This window comes from Homo sapiens, chromosome 4, assembly GCF_000001405.40.
Source record: "Homo sapiens chromosome 4, GRCh38.p14 Primary Assembly".
Lineage (NCBI taxonomy): Eukaryota > Metazoa > Chordata > Mammalia > Primates > Hominidae > Homo > Homo sapiens.
In genome coordinates this window covers 105,138,378-105,161,185 of record NC_000004.12, presented here as the reverse complement: position 1 = coordinate 105,161,185, position 22,808 = coordinate 105,138,378, and the positions used below count along the sequence as shown (strand labels likewise).

The window sequence follows — 22,808 nt, the reverse complement described above, 5'->3', positions numbered from 1 at the left end:
AATGAGAACAGCTTTAGATGTTAAATGGCTAAAACCTGAGTTTCTATATGTGAATAATAGATTCGGTCAGATAATATTTAAATTATTCCAGATATAAAGTTCTCTTATACCAAGTATTACTTAAAGAAAAACACCTGTAATCCCAGCACTTTGGGAGGCTGAGGCGAGTGGATCACCAGGTCAGGAGTTCAAAACCAGCCTGACCAAGATGGTAAAACCCCGCCTCTACTAAAAATACAAAAATTAGCCGGGCGTGGTGGCGAGTGCCTGTAATCCCAGCTACTCCGAAGCCTGAGGCAGAGAATTGCTGGAACCCAGGAGGCGGAGGTTGCGGTGAGCCCAGATCGCTCCGCTTCACTCCAGCCTGGGCGACAGAGGGAGACTCTGTCAAAAACAAACAAACAAACAAACCAACAAACCAAAAAACCCCCAAAAAACAGATTTGGTGCTTGGTTTAGCTCTTGGGAAAAGATCCTTTATTTTAAAAAATACATATTTCACTTATAGTATTACATTTCAGAGACTCTGATTTTTCCTATCTTTAGAAAGGTAGTGTAATTACAAAAACACAGTCTATGAAAGAAGCAGTCAAATGAGCTAACTTTTCAATTACTATAAATTTCATCTTTGATGATCTAATTACAATTCTTTGTTAGGCAAGAAGGCTTCTATTTTGGATGATAAATGATGACATCCATCTCAAATGATCCTTAGATGCAATACAAAAAGAACTCAAATTCTGTTCATATTTTAAATATTCAAACCAGTCTGCTTACAGCTAATACATAGCACCAGTATACATATACCAAATATACGTGGTTAGACATTTAAATTTTTGATGCCTTTTTTTTTATTTCAACTTGCTTTGTATTGATAAAAATAAATGAAAAGCTCTAAAAATCAATTTGGGATAGGAGGCACATTCCCTAAATATAGAGACTTAAAGCTTTGTTGTTGTTGTTTTAGCTCTAGGTCTTGGTATGAAATTAAAAATGAGAGAAGGTTGAGAGAATTTACAGAGGATGGGGAAAGGGGAGAGGCAGGTATAATGGTATACTAAGGAGCATGATTAACCAAGAGTTTTCTTGAGTGTTTTCTGGTCAGACCGTTTAGTTTGGGAAGTCAATCATGAATTCTCTTGCTTTTTAAGATGCATACAAATATCAAGATTTTTTTTTTTTCTGAGACGGAGTCTCGTTCTGTCGCCAGGCTGGAGTGCAGTGGCGCGATCTCGGCTCACTGCAACCTCCGCCTCCCGGGGTCAAGCGATTCTCCTGCCACAGTCTCCCAAGTAGCTGGGATTACAGGCGCCCGCCACCACGCCCAGCTAATTTTTGTATTTTTAGCAGAGACGGGTTTTCACCGTGTTGGCCAGGATGATCTCGATCTCTTGCCACCCGCCTTGGCCTCCCAAAATGCCGGGATTACAGGCGTGAGCCATCCTGGCCAAGATGTAATTTTTTAAAGGCATTTTGTGAGGCTGGGAGGCAGGTATGCAAATCTCACGTAAATTACAAGAGCACTGTGAATTATAATCAGATCCAAAGCATCATCTGCTCATGTTTCCCCAAATCACAAAAATGGTTTGGCATGACTAGTTGTTTGCTGCAGGGCATAAAAAGATTAATCTTAGCTGGGCGCGGTGGCTCAAGCCTGTAATCCCAGCACTTTGGGGGGCCGAAGCAAGCGGATCACCTTAAGTCGGGAGTTCAACACCAGGCTGACCAACATGGAGAAACCCCGTCTGTACTAAAAATACAAAATTAGCCGGGCGTGGTGGCGCATGCCTATAATCCCAGCTACTTGGGTGTCTGAGGCTGGAGAATCGCTTGAACCGGTGAGGCGGAGGTTGCAGTGAGCCGAGATCGCGGCGCCACTGCACTCCAACCTTGGCAGCAAGAGCGAAACTCCGTCTCAAAAAAAAAAAAAAAAAAGAAAGAAAGAAAGAAAAAGATTAATCTTGTATTTAGGCACAGCTTTTGAGGCTTTGGTAGGAAAACCATGCGTTAGGGAATATCCTGACCTAAACACCTTGATCTTTGGTTCATGACCCTATCAGAGCCAGACAAGGGCTCCCGGACAATGAATTAAACTGTGTTGATTCCTCCGCCCACAGACACTCAAAGCTTACTCTCTCCACTGTTACATAAGAGTCTCTGGAATCCTAGGATGGTGTTTGTAAATACTGCTGCCACGTGCACGGTACCCACGTGTCAAATGTTGATGTGACCGCGTGTAACTGGAAGGAGAGAAAGCGTCTACAATTTCCAAAGAGAAGCCTACTATTTTTTGGCCCTAAAAATGAGCATACAGATGTCAAGGAATTATCACTAACTAAGGGTGATTTATTTGTCTTTTCTTTCTTTTTTTTTTTCCAAAAAAGAGGAAGAACTGTAATATTTTTTTCCTGTTGCATTTCTTGTAATCTAAATTAACTGCTCTACCTAATTCAATTTAGGATCAGTTTTACAATTTCAGCAATGCATTCTGAATGCACTTTCTACTTCCTCTATTTGCAGGACTTATTCCTGCTTGCTTATTTACTTCAGTGTAAACTGAGATATTATGGGAGATGAATTACATAAAAACCAGAGATATACACTAAGTAGGCAAATGATTTACAAAGTTATAATTTACACCCAATTAAATTACAACATGACCCATTCAGTATTCAATGGCTTTCCTTGGGTGAAGGAAAAAAAAGTAGCATTTTACCTCTCTTCCTATCTCGGATTTCACCTTCATCTACATTCATTATATCTTTTACAATGGGTTTGTGAACAGAAAACAAGTAAACTCCATTCCTTAAACACCTGAATTCTTACCAATACTGAGAAAAATTACAATGTCAATAACTAAGTTTTTAACCCCTAAATATAGTTTCCCAAAAACCCCGAGGATTAAGGCATGACTAATTATAACAATGCAAAAAAAATTAAAGAAAATCTGTCAGTAGTAAATTAAACTCATTGTATTTTTAAAAATATTCTGACTTCAACAAAACCCAAGAAGTGTCTTTAAAGTCACTTTAAAATGCCATACCCTAGATTTCCCATGCTCTTGAAAAATGTTGGTAAAAATGTTTTAAAATTACAATATATGTTTAAAAAATTAGTTGATGTCCATAAAATCTTATTTGAAATAAGAACCACATTTTTTAACAGTAAATAAGTTGTTTCAAAGTAAGTAAGTTGTAACAGTAAATAAGTTGGCCAGGCCGATGGCTCATGCCTGTAATCCCAGCACTTTAGGAAGCAGAAGGGGGTGGATCACTAGAGGTCAGGAGTTCGAGACCAGCCTAGCCTACATGGCGAAACGCTGTTTCTACTAAAAATGCAAAAATTAGCCAGGCATGGTGGCTGGTGCCTATAATCCCAGCTACTCGGGAGGCTGAGACAGGAGAATCGCTTGAACCCAGAAGGAGGAGGCTGCAGTGAGCCAAGATCATGCCACTGCACTCCAGCCTGGGCAAGAGAGTGAGACTCTACCAAAAAATAAAAAATAAAAATAAATAAAAATTTTTAGTTCCCACAGTTAGTAACCAAACGTCTTTTTCAAGTTTGCTTTTCAGTAGAAATACATAATTAAATCTTAGCCATTAATAAGGTGAGCCAACAGCAAAATGTCTATTAGCTTTGCTTTCTGCCAGTGTTTTTCCACAAGCGTAATGTGGCAGACAACTGCAAAATTAAAATACAACCTTGTTTTAAATTCAACTTATGTAGATAATATAACTTCACTGGAGAAAAAACCATTTCAGTGGCTAGATTGGAAGAAAGATAAAATCTATAAAACAAGGTTTAAAGTGTGTTTTTTCCTGCTAAAATGTATCTGTTTGTACTAAAATAATTATTTACTAAAATAAATAATTTATATGGTAAGAATCTTTAGTTGTGAGATTTTTTTTTCCTTCATTTTTGAAAGGTACCCATTTATGGTATTCTTCTTTTCATCAGTTACATTTGGTACATTAAAATAGGAATGTAAATGAATTAATATTTTAATAATTCACTTTTTAAGATGCTCATTCTGATTTGATGAACTATCAGACACTGTATTTGTAGAAATGGTTTTTTCTTCTGTTATAATGTATATAGGAGAGTGCACAGTAGAACAAACAAAAAAGCTAATAATCATCTGAATTAATTACAGGGTGCTCAAAGTGATCCTTTTAATGCAAATATAATGAAAAGTTATAAAAGAGCTGAGATAACTTTACAGCCAATGGCAAATATAAAAATTCTATAACTTCAAAGCAAGAGACTTCAAACAAAAGCAGGAAAAGTGCTAAAAGAACAAACAGGTTAAAAAAATTAATAAGACCAGGACAGTATGTTATGGATAGAATCTGGGTGTGGTCTCATTGTATTACTCTCACATTCTGGTGCTCTACTTCAGAGGCAGCACAACTAATAATTATGGTATTTAATGGGTGCCCTTCTTAGTGCAGACAGGTAAGAAAAACGGGAGGAATAACTCATATACCATGCTATGTTATCTGGCTTTCATTATCCCTATTGAAGCTTTTTTACTTTTTTTTATGCATCATCTATTTCAGGAGAAAATACTATAATAACCCATTTGAGAGATGGGTGAATGTTCTCATTAATGTATAACCTGGACATAGAAGCTAGATTTAACACTGCATCAAGAAAATAAGTGATTTGGTAAGGCAGGTTTTAGCAATGGCTAATGAGGCACGACAACTGTAATTAAAATTACCATTACTTTTACCCACCCACAGAACAAACTGTGACAAATCTCAAAATGTTAAAAGTAGCAAATTAAAAATATCAATACTCTGTATGGCATACCTAAATGTCAGACTGCCTGCATTTCTATGCCTGAACATAGGCAATTCCCTTTGAAGAGAGTAGTACATCAGCAAAAATTCACAGCCCATTTTTCTTCTTTTGAATATGGTGTACCTTCTGTATAAATTACTTATAAAAAGCAAAGCTAAAAATAAACAACAAATCAAAATGTTCCTAATATGCGAGAACAGATTTACATTTTTTGGAAGTGCATTAAAAAGCAAAGATGAAGTACTACACTCAAACTTGTGAACAACTTTTTTAAAATTATGGAGATACTAGTACAAAAATTTATAGTCAGCTGAGGTGGTTCACAAAGTTTTGAGAGAAACAAGAGAGAGTGAAGACAAGTAAGCTAGTCATTTCTCCAGTAAGGAGAACAGAACCTAAATTCTATCTTACTGCTTTCCATAACCATCACTACACCAACTTCTTAATGGGTCTAACATGAGCATCTATCTTGGGCTTGTCAAACATACTCAACAAACCTACAAGTAGATGCTATGATCATACTCTTAAAAAGTAAAATTCTATAGTTACTCATTGAACAAGTGATCATAACAATTATATAAAGCCAATATACTTCCTTATTGGGTACAATCACATGTGTACCTTAAATAAGTCTCTGAACCCTAAAGCTCAACCTTTCCAGATCAGTGAATTTTCTCCACTCCAGTTATCAGTCATGGTCCCAAGGTATGGGATCCAACCGGCTGCAACCCAGCATTCTCATGAGAATAAAAAGGGAGAGAAGCATTGCACAACAAGAATGTCTGGTATCTAGAATTACATAAGGTTAGAAATTCAAATACAATCAACCCCAAGTAATTCACCCTGTGTGTCCAAAACTACAAGTCATAGTTCCATAGGGACTAGTGTTAAAAATCTGCACTCATTTTACCTGTAAGTGGTTTGTAGAAGTTCTGCTGGTATTTGTAAATACTTGCAGCCATGTGTAGCAAAGATGGAGAGCCATCATCATTCTGACCCTGTTTCTCACTTTGTCCTGGCATTATGAAGACTGCTGCAAAGCAATTTCCTTTTCAACCTTATTTTACATCTTCAACATGCCACAGTATCAGTTAACAGGAAAAGAGTCACTTGTTTAAACCCTATGAGATACTTTGTCATTTTAACTTTAAAATCTGAAACATGACAAGTGGAGATATAAACAGTTAACAAACTCAAAGTTTTGAAGTTTATTCTCTGCCCTGCATTGCCCTTCTGTTTTCACATAGATAAGACATTAATAACCCCCCAAATCTAGTAATTTGTTATTATTTCTAGATTAAACTGCACTTTGTAGTAATTTAAACAAGAACAGCAATTTTTATAGTTTTTTTTTGAGAGAGAGGGTCTCATTTTGTCACCCAGGCTGAAGTGTGGGGGCACCAACATGGCTCACTGCAGCCTCAACTTCCCAGGCTCGAGCCATCCTCCCGCCTCAGCCCCACAAGTACCTGGAACTACAGGGATGTGCCACCACACCCAGCTAATTTGTGCATTTTTTGTAGGGATGGGGTTTTGCCATGTTGCCCAGGCTTGTCTCCAACTCCTGAGCTCAAGAGACCCACCCACTTCCGCCTCGCAAAGTGCTGGGATTACAGGTGTGAGCCACCGCACCCAGTCACATTCCTTTTAACACTTGGGTTACATCTCCTGAACTGAATGGCTAGGTAACTAAAGACATCTGAGAAAGTTTCTTGCACCTATACATTAAGCCCTCTTTACCAAGTCATATAACCTATCACTATCTATTGAATCTTCCCATATGAGCTCTAAAGGCTATTGTTATCACAAAACACAATGCCAACTTTTGAGTGATTAAGTATCCTTCTCATCTATAAGAGGATGTTGCCCAGACTAATCTCAAACTTCTGGTCTCCCGCCTTGGCCTCCCAAAGTGCCAGGATTACAGGCATAATAAAACTCCTTGATGCCATCTTCCTAGAAAGATATGCTTAGCCTCATTCAATCCAAATAGTTCCTGCATTTCTTTTGCATGAGATGTAAGACATTTTCTGACATAAAATAAACCAAATAACTCAACTACATTCATTTTTATAACAACAGCTTTTTGAAATATAATTCACATACAATAAATTCATCCTTTTAAAGCATATAATTCAGTGGGTTTCAGCATATTCAAAGAGTTGGGCAATCATTACTATCTAATTATAGAACATTTTCATCATCACCAAAAGAAATCTCATACTTATTAGGAGTCACCTCCCTCCCATCCCTAGCCCCTAGTAATAACTAGCCAACTTTCTGTCTCCTTAGATTTGCCTATTCTGGACGTTACTTAAAATTGAAAGCATATCATATGTGGCCTTTCTTGTGCCTCTCAGATTCACCTATGTGACAGCATTTATCAATAATCCATTCCTTTATACTACTTAATAATATTTCACTGTATGGATATACCACAATTTGTTTATTCACTCATGACATGATAGACATCTGGGTTGTTTCCATTTTTTACCATTATTAATAATGCTGTAATGAACATTTGGCTACAAGTTTTCATGTGAACAACTGTATGCATTTTAAATCTCCTTTTATGACTTTCTCTACATAGTCCACATTATACACTTTTACAGCTATCAATGATAATGATGAAGTATAATATAGTGATTAAAAGATTTGGCACTAGAGACAGACTGCTTAACTCAAATGCTGGCTAAGCCTAAGCCATGTATAGGCTGTATGAACTTAAGGAAGTTATTTAACCTCACTGGGCTTCAGTTTCCTCACTCATAAATAGGGATAAGAATAATACCTATCTCTAGGGTTGTGATGAGAATTAAATGACATCGACTTACACTGTCACAAAACAACTTAAAATATTTTTAACATAAAGGCCATTCTATCAAAAAAAGGACTTTTAAGAAAACAAAAACTTACATTCTGACACACATTTTAATATGGCATAACAGCACAATCACAAGATTGATAAATTGCTAAACTTTTGTGCTAAACTTCTCTGTTTTGAGAAAAAAAGGTTTAAAAATATGTGATCATGTGACTAAATGGTATAAAACAAAACACACACAAATGAGTACAAGTTAAACTGAGGACATCTGAATAAGATTAGTAGGCCACATCAATGTCAGTATCATGGTTGTGATATGATATTATAGTTTTGCATGTGATGTGATATGATATTATAGTTTTGCAAAGTGTTGCCACTGGGGGAAATTGAGCAAGTATACGTGGAATCTCTCTGTATTATTTCATACAATGGCATATGAATCTATAATTAACTCAAAAAATATTTCAATTAAAAATATATGATCCCATATAAGTTTACTAAAAACCATTCACTTTTGTGCTTAAAATGGGTGGCTTTTATAGGGCAATTGCCATAGCCTGTAGAAATTAAATGTAAGGAAAACACACCATTACTCCTACCATCATCACCATCACCAAGACACTTAACACTATTTTTCTCTTATACATTGAAAATAGATTAGACCAGGTGCAGTGGCTCATGCCTGTAATCCCAGCACTTTGGGAGACCCGGGCAGGCAGATCACCTGAGACCAGGAGTACGAGATCAGCCTGGCCAACATGGTGAAACCCTGTCTCTAATAAAAATAGAAAAATTAGCCAGGTGTGGTGGGGCACGCTCCTAGTCCCAGCTACTCTGGGGGCTGAGAAAGAGAATCACTTGAACCTGGAAGGCAGAGGTTGCAGTGAGCCGAGATCACACCACTGCACTCCAGCCTAGGTGACAGAGCAAGATACCGTCTCAAAAAAAAAAAAAAAAAGAAAGAAAGAAAGAAAGAAAAAGGAAAAGAAAATAGATTATACTTTTTTTTTCTAGTTAAATTGCATGGTTTTTCACTAGTTCTATATCATCCATTAAATATTGACTGAGAGGTCAACAGTAGGTTCTATTAGGGAATAGAAAGACATAGAAATCAGTGCCTACCTTCCAATAGACAAAAAAGAAATGTAATTTGAAAGAAACATTTGTAGTATTTTTAGTCAAACAACCAGTTCATTTTATATCCTAGACTGTCCTTCAAAAACACTTTATCCCAATTTATTCATCTCCTATTTATTATTATTATTTTTCTTTTTTTGAGGCAGAGTCTCTCTGCCTCGCCCAGGCTGGAGTGCAGCAGAGCCATCTCGGCTCACCGCAGCCTCTGCCTCCCGGGAGGGTTCAAGCAATTCTCCTGTATCAGCCTCCAGAATAGCTGAGACTACAGGCATGTGCCACCACACCCAGCTAATTTTGTATGTTTAGTGGAGATGGGGTTTCACCATGTTGGCCAGACTGGTCTCGAATTCCTGACGTCAGGTGATCCACCTGCCTCGGCCTCCCAAAGTGCTGGGATTATAGGTATGAGCCACCATGCCCAGGCTCAAGTGATTCTCGGGCCTCAGCCTCCTGAGTAGCTGGGATTACTGGTGTGTGCCACCATGCCCGGCTAATTTTTGTATTTTTAGTAGAGACAGGGTTTCACCATGTTGGCCAGGCTGGTCTCAAACTCCTGACCTCAGGTCATCCACCTGCCTTGTCGTCCCAAAGTGCTGGGATTACAGGCATGAGCCACCACAACCGGCCTCGTCTCTTACTTTAATTCTCAGTTTATTTGGAACATGATTTCAAGTCAGTTTAGAGGAACAACTTTCAGTGAGTATAAAGCATTGAGTTCTGAATTATTTTTATTTTTATTTTTATTGAATAGAGACAGGTATCTCACTATGTTGCCCAGGCTGGTCTAGAACTTCTGGCCTCAAGTGATCCTCCTGCCTTCCCCTCCCAGAATGAGCCACCACACCTGGCCTGAGTTCTGAATTCTTAAAACTGCAGGTAGGATGATATTATCACTGAATTTATTTTTACATATATTATATATTGAAAATATATATTATCTATATCTAATATATATTATATTGAAAATCCACCTACTATCTGTTTCTTCTTTTTGAAGTATGACACATTTAACTACATGTCATTACAAATGAAGAAAACATAAATCAAAGCTGATAGAATGTGCTTTTTTGTTTGTTTGGTTTTGTTGTTGTCGCTGTTTGAGATAGGGTCTCTCCCTCTTGCCTGGGCTGGAGCGCAGTGGTGTGATCAGAGCTCACTATAAGTTAGAACACTTGAGCTCAATCCATCCTCCTATCTCAGTCTCCTGAGTAGCTGGGACTACAGGAATGTACCACCATGCCCCACTAACTTTTTAAATTTTTTGTAGAGACTGGGGCCTGACTGTGTTGCCCAGGGTGGTTTCAAACTCCTGGCCTCAAGTGATCTCTCACCTTGGCCTCCCAAAGTGCTAGGATTACAGGCATGAGTCACCACGCCCATCCAAAATTTGTTATTTGGAATGGACAACCAAATATCTATTCTTTTGAGAAAAAGATTATATATCTATTTTAAGTCAGCAAGTCTCTGCAATGTACAATATAGGACAAAAATAATGCTGGAAATAGCAGACATACATAATTCTTTTTGGATTGTAGTCACAGTGATTCACATGCTCTGACTTTCCCCTTTCCCTCCTGGAACCCTTCTCTCCTACTATATACCAAACCAACAGATGTACTGCATAACCTCCTTCAATAATGTCACAGTATTCACTCAGTTTTGGCAGTGAGTAGAAATAGAAATTGGAGATCTAGACCAAGTAAATACTGTATATTTGGCAAAATCATTTGTGGTTGTGTTCTTCAGCACAGTTTCCCAGATAACCACCAGCTCTACTTGGCAACTGGTCTTTCCCACAGTGAAGGCTCCAATTGTAAAGTTGGCTTGGGAGATATTCTATTGCTGCTGGCTTTGGTACCATTACTATCCTTAAGAACTACTGTGCAATGGTAGAATAATCATTGACAAAGTGTTATTCTGATGAACAAATACTGACAGCTGGTCCAAAGTTTTAGCCTGTTCCCAAGGTAGGAAACAATAACATTAAAACAGTCTACATGGTTATTTATATAACAAAGATGACTCTTTCCAGCGATTTGAAATTGCTAGATAAGACTATGAAATTCTATTAAAACAATAACAACAAAAACAATTTAACTTGCATTAGAAGCAATTAAAGCATAAAAAGTAGATCTAAGATTTTCTAAATATTAGATATTCTAAAATATTGACATTATACAATGTCTAGCATCCGTAACTTTTGAAGATATTTTATTTCAAGGTAATTTCATAAGAATTCATAAGAATTTACCTACTCAGACTTTGGGCAGGATGGAAAATAGAGTTTCTGTGAGGTGTGCCTATGAATCATAAGAAGGGCTTCTTAATGAGGTCAGTAATTAAGGAAATACATTTCAATAGTGACATTTGACTTACAACATTGTTTGGGGGTGGAGTCTTAGAAGAATTGATAGGGAACTTTTAACTTCAACAAGTGAAACTAAAACATTAACTCCAGTTGTTGTTACCTAATACAAGACCAGTGCCCAATAAGGACTTTGGAATTCTTTCATAACAACTCCTTGGCAGGTGCACTTCACTTGTTCTGGAAGTGATATTCACTTGCCAATGTCTAGTAGGACCATGTGCCACTGCCTCAAAATCATATCAATTCCTCCGGCTTCTGGCATAAACTGGCACATCAGACCTAATTAAAGCCTTAAGAAGAGTTTGGCAAATATGACAATTTAAACAAAGCAAGGGATTTCTCTCACTGCAACTTAATTTCTCATTGATGATTAGTTCAATAAGAAAATAAGCAAAACAATGTCATAGTTAAGAAAAGCTATCTATCTTGTTATTGTCCATTATCATGTTCCTAAAATTCAATAACCCAAGACAGTCCTATGGAATTTTTGGAGCACCTAGGTAGTATGATCACATATATGGTAAAGAAAGAACTGAGGTTATGTCTTTTATTGTAAACTACCCCATACTTATTAAAATAATTTCTCTTTTCCAACAAAGGATAAAGTGACTAACATACACATCTCTTCCTTATAATCACTGAAATACTTTATACAGTATTAATTAGCAGCTATTTTCAGTATAAAAGTAGGATGCACAAAATAACAAGAATCTAAATTTGATGACAGGAAAAAACAAGCCTTCATAGTTGTATTCAAAATTATTAACCAATGTAGTTATTCTTATTTATTGAGTGGAAAATGTTGTATCTATTATTAGTTGAGTAGCCTGAAGACAGTATATACCACAACATTTGAAAAGTTGTCCCCAAAAAGTAAATATTAGTTTGTTAGCAAAAGGAATTGTTTTTAATTCTGAATTGCTGGAATAATTAACCATAGTTTTCTCGATAGTTTACCATGAACAGCATTAATGGTAAAATCCTAATTTTTGTTTTAATTTTAGGGCAAATAAGAACTAACCAATGAACCGTTTCTATTCCACAGAGATGAGTAATGCTTCTCCCTTGTAATCATGTGAAAGAACCCCACGTATCAATGATTAAAGCAAACTACATTAAATTAACAAAGATCAAAATAGAAAGTTACAAAGTGAACTATCGAGGACAAATAGTTTTGGAAATTCGACTTATGGAGAAATATCTATTATTGTGTTTTTCCTTCTATCCATTTTTTAATCCTATAAATTGTCTTCTAAACTTCAGTTTGATTATCCAACACTTCATTAACCGTTCTCTGCTTATTAACATTTAAAAAAATCAATATTTATTGTGTTTAAATTTATATTCTATTCCAAACATTATTAAGCACACATACAAACATGTAAAAGAACATAACTCCCCTTAGTATTTCAACTTTCCATTAAAATGCAAATGTAATGATTTCATTAGCCAGGCAACAATACCCACAGTATCACACCAAACCAAACCAATGTCTTTTCTCTGTGAATCCCAACTTCCCTTAAGATACAATCTTATTCCTATGATGGATCATTTGTTGATGAATATCTTTGAATTTGGGTTTCCCATTATAATCCCTGACTGAAGGGGAAAAAGCACAATGTGTGATTTGAGATATTAAATTCATGAATGTATTCCACTCCCTAGACACGTAAATATATAAATATTTCACTAAATTTTATGCACTAAATTTTACCGCTGGAAAATAAGCCTTTTCTCAATTCTTAAACATTAGATGAAGAAGGGAGAACTCCCTCAATGTAATTAAAAGTATATCATGAGGGGAATAACCAGCAAATAACACTTATATTTCATTTTCGGCCTTTCCAGGAGTCTATCCAGGCCACACTTCATTATGTCATAGGTAGAAAACTCTCCATACAAACCCTATTAGCTTAATAAAACTAGACAAGCAGTCCCAGTGAAAAGATTCAGCAAGATGCGAGTGAGGTGTGTGTGTGTGTGTGTGTGTGTATGTGTATGAGAGAGAGAGAAGAAAGAGTAGAGAGGAGACACAGAGAGAAAGGCAGAGAGATGAAAGACCAAAGAGAGAAGCCAAAGAGAAATTTGGATGGGACTGTTATAAATCTGCTCTTCACTTCTTTGCTGGGATTGGGTTTCATTTCTTTAGGCGCCCCTGACCTTGCAGTCTTGCAACTCCAACGCTGCGCTCCCCACCCCCTCCCGCCCCCTCCCCGGGCCTGCGCCTGCCTTTGTGTCTGCCTGTCACTTACCAAGGAACCAAACGAAGCTGATTCGGGAGAAGCACAAAGCCGGGACACAGATTTGTCCATAAATTCTCTTACATACATTCCCCAGGCTGGAAGGCTCAGCCCAGCGCTGACTTATGTACCTTGAGAAAAGTGAGTTCTGGTCTTGTTTGGGGAACCAGAGAAACTATTCTTTCCTCTTTCACTCAGCGCCGCTAACAAAACGCGCGGACTTAAGGAAAAAAAAAACCCACTCAGTGTACTCCAATTCCACTCCCTGTGACATTCACTTCGTACAGCCCCCTAAAGGGGGATAAGAAGGTAGGAGGAGGCAGACACAAACCCAGACCCAGACCCTACAGCTGATAAAAGGGTCGAAAAACACCCTATCAGTGTTCTCTCTGAGGTTGTTCAGGATAAACGGGAGACTCGTTTCACTTACACGAAAGAAACAGGGGAAGAGGATTAAAGGGAAAAGTAGTGCCCCCAAAGCTGAACTATTTTAGAAAGGAAAGCAAATTTAAAAATCACTTTTCTGAGGATTAAAAAAGGCCGGGAAACCGGCTCGTCGGAGGCACAAAGGTAAGTTTTCTGGGAGATGAGGGGACGAGCATTAGGAGGAGAGAAGAGAACACAGAACTACAGGTTTAAAAGGGGTAGAGGGAATTAAAACTATATTTGTCAGCCATGTTGAAGAGGCTCCAGTAATTTGTGAAGCTTCCCTCTTCCCTCTTGGTATTTGTGGGTGACACTACAGGGTTTGCTCCCCAGTCCCTGGAAGCCCGAGAAAAAGCGAAGGGGAGAAGAAAGGGAGAGTTTCGCGGCATAAGAGAAGCGCTCTGACCTCGTTCTCGTCCCTCAGCCTTGCAGCAATCCAGCAGTTGCAGTCGGGTCTCCTTTCTAACAAATCCTAAAGGGCAGCCATCTTGCTTCCTTCTGCTTCTCTACGAAAGCAGCCTAGCCTCCGCATCAATATTCATAAGGCAGTTTGACGTCTGTTCTCATCACTCAGCGGGGCCGGCGTCTCGGGGCGGCCGCGCCGAGGGGGCGGACGTGACTTGCATGCGAGCGGGACCCGGGCGCGCGGCGCTCGCGAGGAGGCGGCGGCGGCCGCCCAAGCTCTCGCCGCTGCCACTGCCGCTACCGCCGGCTCTCCTCCTCCGCCCGGGCCTCCTCCTGCTCCGCCCCGGCCTCCTCCCGCTCCGCCCCGGCCTGCGCCGCCGCCCTGGGGCCCTCAGCCCCGGCTCCCAGGGAATTAGCCCCCCGCACCGGGCGTCCAGCACAAAGGCCGGCGGCACCTGGGGCCGTACAGCGGGGCGCGCAGTGGAGACCTGGGCTGCCCTCACGCCGTGCAGTGGCGCGGGGGGAGTGGTGCGCCCGGACCAGCGCGGAGTAGGGGCCAGGGCTGGCGAGCGCGGGGAAGGGTGCAGCCCTCGGGAACCCCGGGGACCTCGGCGGGTCTCCACCCCTGGGAGAAGAAGCAGAGCAAGCGCGAAGGTTGGGGGCGAGGTGGGAGGTTGGGATGGCACGGGTGCCTGGACAAAGACGTGACATCTAAGATTTCCCTTTGAAACTTTTTGCTGGTCTGCACTCCACCACCACTTCGAGGTCCCGCGCACACGCCCCCGCGCGCACCCACCTCCTCCGGAGTGTACCCGCACGTGCCCTCGCTCTGGCCCCCGCCTCCACCCACTGGCACCTCTCCCCGCACCACACCTCCGCTTGCGCCCACCTTACCCTCAGAGGCCCGCGTCTCTATCTCCCTTTAGATCCCGTTGCCCGCGCTCTCCTTTCCCTTTTCTGTCGCTTTAATCTCATTCAGCAGAAGCGCTCCCCTGTTTCACCGAGGGCATGCCCTTAGTGCTTTAGGGGCCTGTATTTTTAAAGACCCGACAAACTGGGAAATTGACCGAGTTCTGTTTCTCCCCGCCCCGGCCCACCTTCTGTTTACTTTAGCCACGTGGGCTGAGTAGAAGGGGGCGTCTCACAGATTGAAATAGGTTTCTCACTAGTGACCCCCTACTTCTCGCTAGGAGGAAATAAACCTGCACTTTCAAATGCTTAAGTTGCCTCTCGTAAGAGCCCTTACTTTGAAGTAGTTTCCCCCCGTACAATTAAGTAATGAAGAAACCGACCGATACAGAGCTAATTCCGAATGACGGATGCTTGATTTTCCCTGACATTCGGAGCTCTGTAACTATGCTCTTCCTTTGACCGGAGTTTTTCTCTATTGCCGAGTAGTGTTACTTCCCCCTTCTAATGCTCCTTTTTCTAATCATCAACTTTTTATTTGAAGATGAGATGAAGAACAAAGCCCATATGAGTCATAGTAAGTATCATATTACGTCAGATAGTCGTTTTTGAAATATTCCCTTCATCTTTTACATGTTCTTACATGACTGACGTTCAAATTTTAAGTGGGTATTTTGGTCACATCTTTTATGGGATCACTGCATGGTGATCACAGTACCCTTAAGTCAATACTAGTTATATTGTGTAACCACACTTTTTTTGGTCTGTAATTTTTTTTAAAAGCGAAGCCCTAATTTTACGAAATCGGAATATTTCCTCTTTGAAGAGTGTGAAAAAGGGAACTCCTTGCAAGTGTCGCATTGTTGCTAAGAAGAATGTTTAGTGGGTCCAATCAAACTTTGTTTATTCCATTTTGAAACAAAGTTGACTCAGATTTCAGATTTTGCACAAACTAAGGAAATAGTACATTTTCCCTTAAACATTTCAGGTGGGAATGACATTCCATGTTTTCTAGCTGTACACTAAAGCGTCACTTAGGTCTTGGAAATTGTTAATGCACTTTAAAATCTAAGCTGTTTGAAAGTTCTTTGTGATCTTTATTTCTTTCTTTCTTTTCTTTCCTTTTCTTTCTTTCTTGAGACAGCCTCTCTCTGTCACCCAGGCTGGAGTGCAGTGGCGCGATCTCGGCTCACTGCAACCTCGGCCTTCCGGGTTCAAGCGATTCTTCTGCCTCAGCCTCCGGAGTAGCTGGGACTACAGGCGTGCGCCACCACGCCCAGCTATTTTTTGTATTTTTAATAGAGACGGGGTTTCACCATATTGGCCAGGCTGGTCTGGAACTCCTGACCTCCCAGAGTGCTGGGATTACAGGCGTGAGCCACCGCGCCCGGCTTGTGATGTATTTTTCAAGTCCAGGAAATAAAGTTCTCTCAAGACCACAACATACATTTATACAGTGCACAGTATTGCAGAGTTGTTGAAACATGGGCTTTGGAGTTTTACAGAGCTGAGTGACTCTTAACTCTATCTTTTCCAGTGTGACCTTGTGCATTTTACTTAACTCTCTCGGTATCGGTTTCTTTCAATCTGTTCAACAACCTGTAAGACAGCAGAGTTGTGGTGAGTTTTTAATAAGAGCACTAGGTAAGTGCCCAGGTAGTTACTACTACTACAGTAACAAACCATTTACTTCTAGGAGTTATTTTGTTTCTGACTATAGAAGTATATAATTATATATCTTCTTACATTTAATAATATGTGGAAAATATTATATTAGCATGTGTTTAATATAAAAGTATCCGTAGGTTCCTTTAGTTATAACTGGGAAATGATCTTTCAGGTCACCTCCCTCTCATTTCTTCTTTGAAAACTGCTCTCTGTTGTAACAGGGTGTTCTTACCTATTTGGAATCATGTTTGGGTTGCAGTTGGTTTTACAACAGGCCCTGAACATTTTCTTGCCAACTTCTTTCTCTGCACCTCCACTCTACCCTTAACCATCATGACTTTTTAAAAGTTAAAATAAAATACATTACTCCTCTTGGCTATTGTGATTTTTCAACAGCAAAAGGAAGTAAAATTCTGCAGGCCTTCACGTATAAAATATTTTAGTTAGATTTTTTTTTTGATTTGAAAAACTTCCTCCTGCTATTTCTGGGAAAGAAAGGATATAGTTTGCAAATCAGTTGTTTACTGAACGCAGTGCGCACTTGTATGGGTAATTCAGAACCAGCTTTTATTAATTGTGTGCATTCTTGAGATTCCTCCTCCTACAGGTGTGGACAATCTGTGTTTAAAATATAATTTGCTGTTTTAACAACAATTAATTATCAAATTCTTTACCATTTTTTTCCTCAAACTAGAAATAGCAGCACTGCTTCCATACAGAGAGATCCTTGCTTCCTTAACAGAGAAAAAAGACTAATAGAACAAGTTCCACAACATGCTACTCTGTGTTAGAAAATTGACTTGATTGGCCTGCGCACCTGCTATCTAACTCAGTTGCTCAGTCTTTAAGTCTCAGGGTGGAGGCAGTTTCCTGTCTGCTGCTGTCCATTAAAGAGCTGATGATGGTAGTTTGCTTTACAATGCAAATTTTTTTTATGTTGTACTAACACAAAAATAATAGGTGCATTCTTCATTTCCTCCCACCTGCAGAATAGAAAATGTTCTTTCTTTCTTTCTTTTTTTTTTTTTTTGAAACGGAGTCTCACTCTGTCACCCAGGACGGAGTGAGTGGCGCGATCTCTGCTCACCGCAACCTCCACCTCCCGGATTCAAGCAATTCTCCTGTCTGCTCTCCAACTCCTGACCTCGTGCTCCTCCTACCTCAGCCTCCCAAAGTGCTGGGATTACATTTTTCTTTAAGAACTTGATACTCTCTTCAACACAGAGAAATAGTTGTGATATACACTGCTTTGAAAGAATTATACTGGTTTAACAAAAACATAAAATCATGGCCTGTTGTTTCCCATCTCCAAAAACATGTTTCTGAAGTATAACATGATAAAGATTCTCTGTATGCTTAAAAGACAATTGACCATCAAACAGCATAGCAGTCACTGCGGTTAAAAAGCTTTCTTATTTATTTTGTTTGGTTACATTACTGCACATTATATGTAGGTACGTATTTAACACAGAATACTAAGTTTCAACAGTCTCCAATAGATGACATATTGAGATATAATATTTTAGCTTATTAATATAAATTATTATTAATAAAAATTATTGTCTAAACCCAGGGATTATAATATGATGAGAATCTCGATAGAATCTCTTATGATTTCTAGTTACTTTTTTCCTAATCTGATTTTATTTGGTTAATTTTTCTTTATATAATTTGAAAATTTTAAGGAAAAAATACAAATTATATAATATTAAATTAATGAAATCAGGAACTATCCAATGTGTGTACTAATTTAATGGGGGCAAAGTAGAATATAAGATAAACTGAAAAGTATTGGCAAAGGCATTATAGAAAGAATATTACTGAGGAGGATCACTTAAGCCCAGGAATTCAAGACTGTGAGCCACGTGAGCCATGATTGTACCACTGAACTCCAGCCTGGGTGATAGTGCAAGACTCTGTCTCAAAAAGAAAATGAAAGAATATTAGAATCATTAGTGGGACAACATCATGGAAATTCCTCCACAATTATTGCAAATATTGCTAATACCAATCTCTTACAATTTTAGGGAATACTTTTTCTTTTCATAAATTCTGACTTCACAATCCAGTAACTACTCTTTTTGTCCTCATCCAAATTTACTAACTCACTTAGTATCTCATTTTATTTTGAAAGAATAATTTTTAACTTTATTGATGAATTTCAGTAATCAATAAAATTTAACTATTAATAATTACCTCAGCACCATTTTATAGGACTCTATAGTTTTTTGGCATTTTATGTGTATTATGACTTAATATGCAAAATGATGTCATATTAAAAATGGCATTTAATGTAATTTCCATCATATAAATATTAAAGGTGAGGTTAAGTGATTTATTTAATGTAATTTCCATCATATAAATATTAAAGATGAGATTAATTGATTTACTTAGGGTCAGACATCCTGTAAATAGAGAGCACCTTACAAATCTAAATTTTGTGAATTAAGGTTTAGGCCTTTTTTATTATACCAAAGCTAACCTTCTGTTTTTTTCCTGCTTATCCTCCTCTAATTTTTTTCTCACCATTATTAGTACTGACTGGTAAAGGAATCTTCCCTTCAAAACCTCATGTTAATTTTCTATTATCCTTTGCTACTTAAAAAATTAAAAACTCAGCACCTACATTTACTTAGCACTCCAAAAGTAAGTTTATTGGTTAAATACTGGCTGTGCACCAAGCATTGAAATAATTGTTTTACATTCATTATCTCTTTTAATTTAATGCTTATTATAACCAAGTAAAGTAGGTAATATCTTGTTGAGAATTAAGGGCTAAGTAACTTGGTTGCTATAAAATAGCGGGAAGAATTGTCTCAATCAGGGTTAGCTGACTCTAAAGCTGATGATCTTGCAGGCTACCTGGTGCTGTCTCCCAATTTAGCAGATACAGACATCTATGTTTGCCCCATCATAAGTTTTTCACACAGTATGTTGTATAGCAGTAACATCAGTATTTCCTATATCTTTCTCATATTTTTAAAAAAACCTCTTTTGTCCAAATCTCTACTTTATAAAAAAAATCACTGCTTTCTACTCTGTTTCTTTAGTTTCCAATTTTGTGCCAGGGAGTTGACATTCTTGAACTCTTCAGAAGAATAATTACATTCATGTAATAAGCAAATGTGATACTGTACCCCTTCCCCACCACCACTTTAACGTGTGTCTTAACCGACTAACAATTGGTTTGCAAAGGTAAGTTCTAGTGTATGTTTTCAATATTGGTGGGAATTGCACCTTTGACCTGCCCTTGACTTTTATGAATGGCTTAGGGTTCATTCCGCCAAGCAAGGAAGCTGGCAGGTGGAAAGAGCGCCATCTACTGAAATCATTAATCGGACATGGGTCTTTGGTGATATTAATAAAATGCTCAGAATGGGATAGCACCAAACCTTTCAATTGGGAAAACAAAATCTAATTTAGGGAGCTTTTGAAAAATATGCATGACTAGGTTACCCTCCTCTACCCCCGCAGGCCTTTTGGAGATTCTGATTAAGGAGGTCTGGGATGGGGCAGGAGTAACAATACTTTTTGAATGATTCACAATGAGATGTACAAACTGTGCTTGAAAATCACTGGGATGGCTTAATGTGTGAGAACGCAATAAAAACATTTAGTGTTTACACCTATTATGAATAGTTAACAGGCACACAATATTATCATTCATAGAACATCCTATGACAAAGAACAGACTTTATATATCTCTCTATAGTATAGTGGAACTCTTTCCTTTGCAAAGATCCTGCAAAGCTGCCTTTAACTCTTTTGATATTTCATATTGATTAAATATTTCTGAATTCTCTTGTGATAGGTCAAAAAATTGAGGAAGACATAATTAGCAGCTGAAGAATGACTCAGATCATCAGTAGTGAATAAGAATGATTAGGGGGAAATGTAAGTGACAGGAACAATGCCCTGAAGCAGTGGGGAGAAAGAAGTACTGAACATTGCCTGAGTTCCATGTGTGAAGAATATTCTGTTTTGTTGTTGTTGTTATTCTCATGGGAAAATTCTACTGATAGAGTTGTGTCAAAAATTTTAAAGTTTTTAAGCCATTCCTATAATCTTGGCAATTAGACCAGTTGAATATGATTTTTTTTCTTTTTCCAAAATAATAGTCATGCAATAGTTTATGAGTGTTATTATCTGGCATCATGCTAACAGTTAGTGCAATTCTTCCTGGAAGGAAGACCTATAGAGATTAAACAATGTTTAGGCCCCAGTAAGTTAAATTATTCCCTTTCCGACAGACACCCTATATGGAGAAGGCAAATTAAAAAGGAAGTAAGGTAGCTATTAGTTGATATCCAATTTTCTTCAAATCTTCTAAAGTGTGTTTTCATATTTTCTGGAGATGTGTGGGAAAATTGAGCTCTGACTCAGATCCAACTCAAAGCCTGTGCAAGCATGAGAGGCTAAGTAGTTTCCTGCGAAGCTCTGCACTACCAACCTCTGTTTAATTTGTTTTCTTATGTTATATCTCAGAGTACAATATTATTATGATTTGGCAGAAAACCTTGATCTGTTAGTAATTAGGCATACCACTAAAGTGAACATGGGTTGGTTGCCAGGCAATTGTTCTGCATTTCACAATGACTTGTATACTCAAGAGAATAAATTATATCCAAGCAGGGACCACAAAACAGGGGTTTCTGACAGGCTAGGGTAGAAGGTGAAAACACACACACACAGACACACACACACACACATCAGAATAGCAAAAACAAATCCCAAAGGAGCATTTCATTGAGGTTCTCTGAAATCTTATGAACACTGGCCCTAGTTTGACTGGATAGGAAGATGCAAGACAGTGAGAACTATTGAAGAAGGGTTTCTTTAGCATGGATTAGTGGTCAGGTGCATGCTGATCCTAGGGTGATGATGATAAATTTTAATGAAGAAAATTTTCTGAAACCCCTTTAGTAACACAATGTCAATAGGCACTGTCTACTAGTGAACAAGAATGAGAGAGTCTCTAAATTTAAATTTGGTGAAACAGTAAAGTCATAATTTTGATAAGTGAGAATTGCTGTTAAAGGTAAAGGTAGTGTGAGGTCAAAAATAGATATTCAAAAAATTTAGAAAGAGAAACTCCAAAAACACACTTATTGGAAGTGTTAAACTTAGGCAATAAGTATATGATAGGATCCAAGATTGTAGTCTAGCCTCCACTACTGAAAACCTACAAAAAACCTTTAAAATGCATTATGTCATTTAGTATTTACAGTAATCTTGAAAACAGGTAAGACCATTATAATTTCCATTTTATTGAATTTTACTTTTTTAACACCAGGGAACATGTGTTTAATACATGAAGGAACGTGTCAGAGAGATTAAGAACTTGCCCATGGTGACACAGCAGGTGATAAATTCTCAAATTCAAGTTTTCTTCAGTATTCTTTCCACAAACTAAAGGGAAATAGCCAACTTTAATTCTTTCCTGAAGGCAGAAAAGAAGCTCTTACCAACTTGTGACATTGTATCATAGGTTGATACATTTTCATTCCTTGCCTGTGCTCACACAGATAGAGGAGAATGCTACAGTAAAGGAAACATTTAGGAAGAGAGTGCTTTGTGTATTTTTTTTAAGTAGGCCATCCACTGTGATAGTAATTCTGTTTATTCCAAATGTGAGATGAAAGTTAATCTGTTCCCTAAAAGCATTTCTAAGGGAAAGAATAAGTTATTCAAAGGCATGAAAGACAAAATGTTTGGAGCTCTTACTTGCTGTCTCCCCTTCAAAGCAACTGAGAAAGATGTTTGGATGAAGGGGAGAGAGAGGAGAGAGAAAGAGCTAGAGGGAGAGAAGTTTGTGTGTGTGTGTGTGTGTGTGTGTGTGTGTGTGTGTGTGTGTGTGTAAGTAATGAGAAAAAATCATTAGACCAGAAGTTTATAAACTGAAAGTTTTATGAAAAGTTTTTTTTTTAAATTTTGAAATTTATTGAAACAATTCCCCTTTTTATTGATTAAGGCTGGAGGGATGGGGCTTGGTGGATTTAGTTTAGAGTTTCAAATTCACATATTTT

The 22,808-nt window shown here is 38.3% G+C and overlaps 2 protein-coding genes across 14 annotated transcripts in view, besides 6 other annotated features; one reads left to right on the top strand and one right to left on the bottom strand.

Moving 5' to 3' along the window:
• TET2 (tet methylcytosine dioxygenase 2) overlaps window positions 1-15,311 on the bottom strand; it is a 133,929-nt gene extending 118,618 nt beyond the window's left edge. For 11 of the 13 annotated variants that reach the window (XR_007057933.1, XM_024454102.2, NM_001127208.3 and 8 more), the window contains exon 1: window positions 14,207-14,310. The gene's annotated coding sequence lies outside the window, so the exon portion shown is untranslated. Of the gene's footprint in view, window positions 1-14,206; window positions 14,311-15,099 lie in introns of those variants that run through there. The other 2 variants (XM_024454103.2, NM_017628.4) reach the window with 1 other exon arrangement.
• LOC124900868 (uncharacterized) overlaps window positions 1-22,808 on the top strand; it is a 33,749-nt gene that overhangs the window by 9,825 nt on the left and 1,116 nt on the right. Inside the window, exon 2 of the mRNA XM_047416559.1 lies at window positions 14,225-15,691. Within this exon, the coding sequence (XP_047272515.1) occupies window positions 14,225-14,913 (689 nt within the window). The 3' untranslated portion in view covers window positions 14,914-15,691. The remainder of the gene's footprint in view (window positions 1-14,224; window positions 15,692-22,808) is intronic.
• Window positions 13,336-13,405: a silencer, noted in NCBI's record as "silent region_15607". NCBI's record gives its function as "represses an Ori minimal core promoter by ATAC-STARR-seq in GM12878 lymphoblastoid cells {active_cell/tissue: GM12878}" and the evidence as "EXISTENCE:reporter gene assay evidence [ECO:0000049][PMID:35858748]".
• Window positions 13,736-13,785: an enhancer, noted in NCBI's record as "active region_21778". NCBI's record gives its function as "activates an Ori minimal core promoter by ATAC-STARR-seq in GM12878 lymphoblastoid cells {active_cell/tissue: GM12878}" and the evidence as "EXISTENCE:reporter gene assay evidence [ECO:0000049][PMID:35858748]".
• Window positions 14,129-14,298: an enhancer, noted in NCBI's record as "active region_21777". NCBI's record gives its function as "activates an Ori minimal core promoter by ATAC-STARR-seq in GM12878 lymphoblastoid cells {active_cell/tissue: GM12878}" and the evidence as "EXISTENCE:reporter gene assay evidence [ECO:0000049][PMID:35858748]".
• Window positions 14,369-15,048: a silencer, noted in NCBI's record as "silent region_15606". NCBI's record gives its function as "represses an Ori minimal core promoter by ATAC-STARR-seq in GM12878 lymphoblastoid cells {active_cell/tissue: GM12878}" and the evidence as "EXISTENCE:reporter gene assay evidence [ECO:0000049][PMID:35858748]".
• Window positions 17,443-17,944: an enhancer, noted in NCBI's record as "NANOG hESC enhancer chr4:106064399-106064900 (GRCh37/hg19 assembly coordinates)". NCBI's record gives its function as "activates a minimal SCP1, AML or CMV promoter by ChIP-STARR-seq in naive H9 embryonic stem cells {active_cell/tissue: H9 hESC(naive)}" and the evidence as "EXISTENCE:reporter gene assay evidence [ECO:0000049][PMID:30033119]".
• Window positions 20,137-20,186: an enhancer, noted in NCBI's record as "active region_21776". NCBI's record gives its function as "activates an Ori minimal core promoter by ATAC-STARR-seq in GM12878 lymphoblastoid cells {active_cell/tissue: GM12878}" and the evidence as "EXISTENCE:reporter gene assay evidence [ECO:0000049][PMID:35858748]".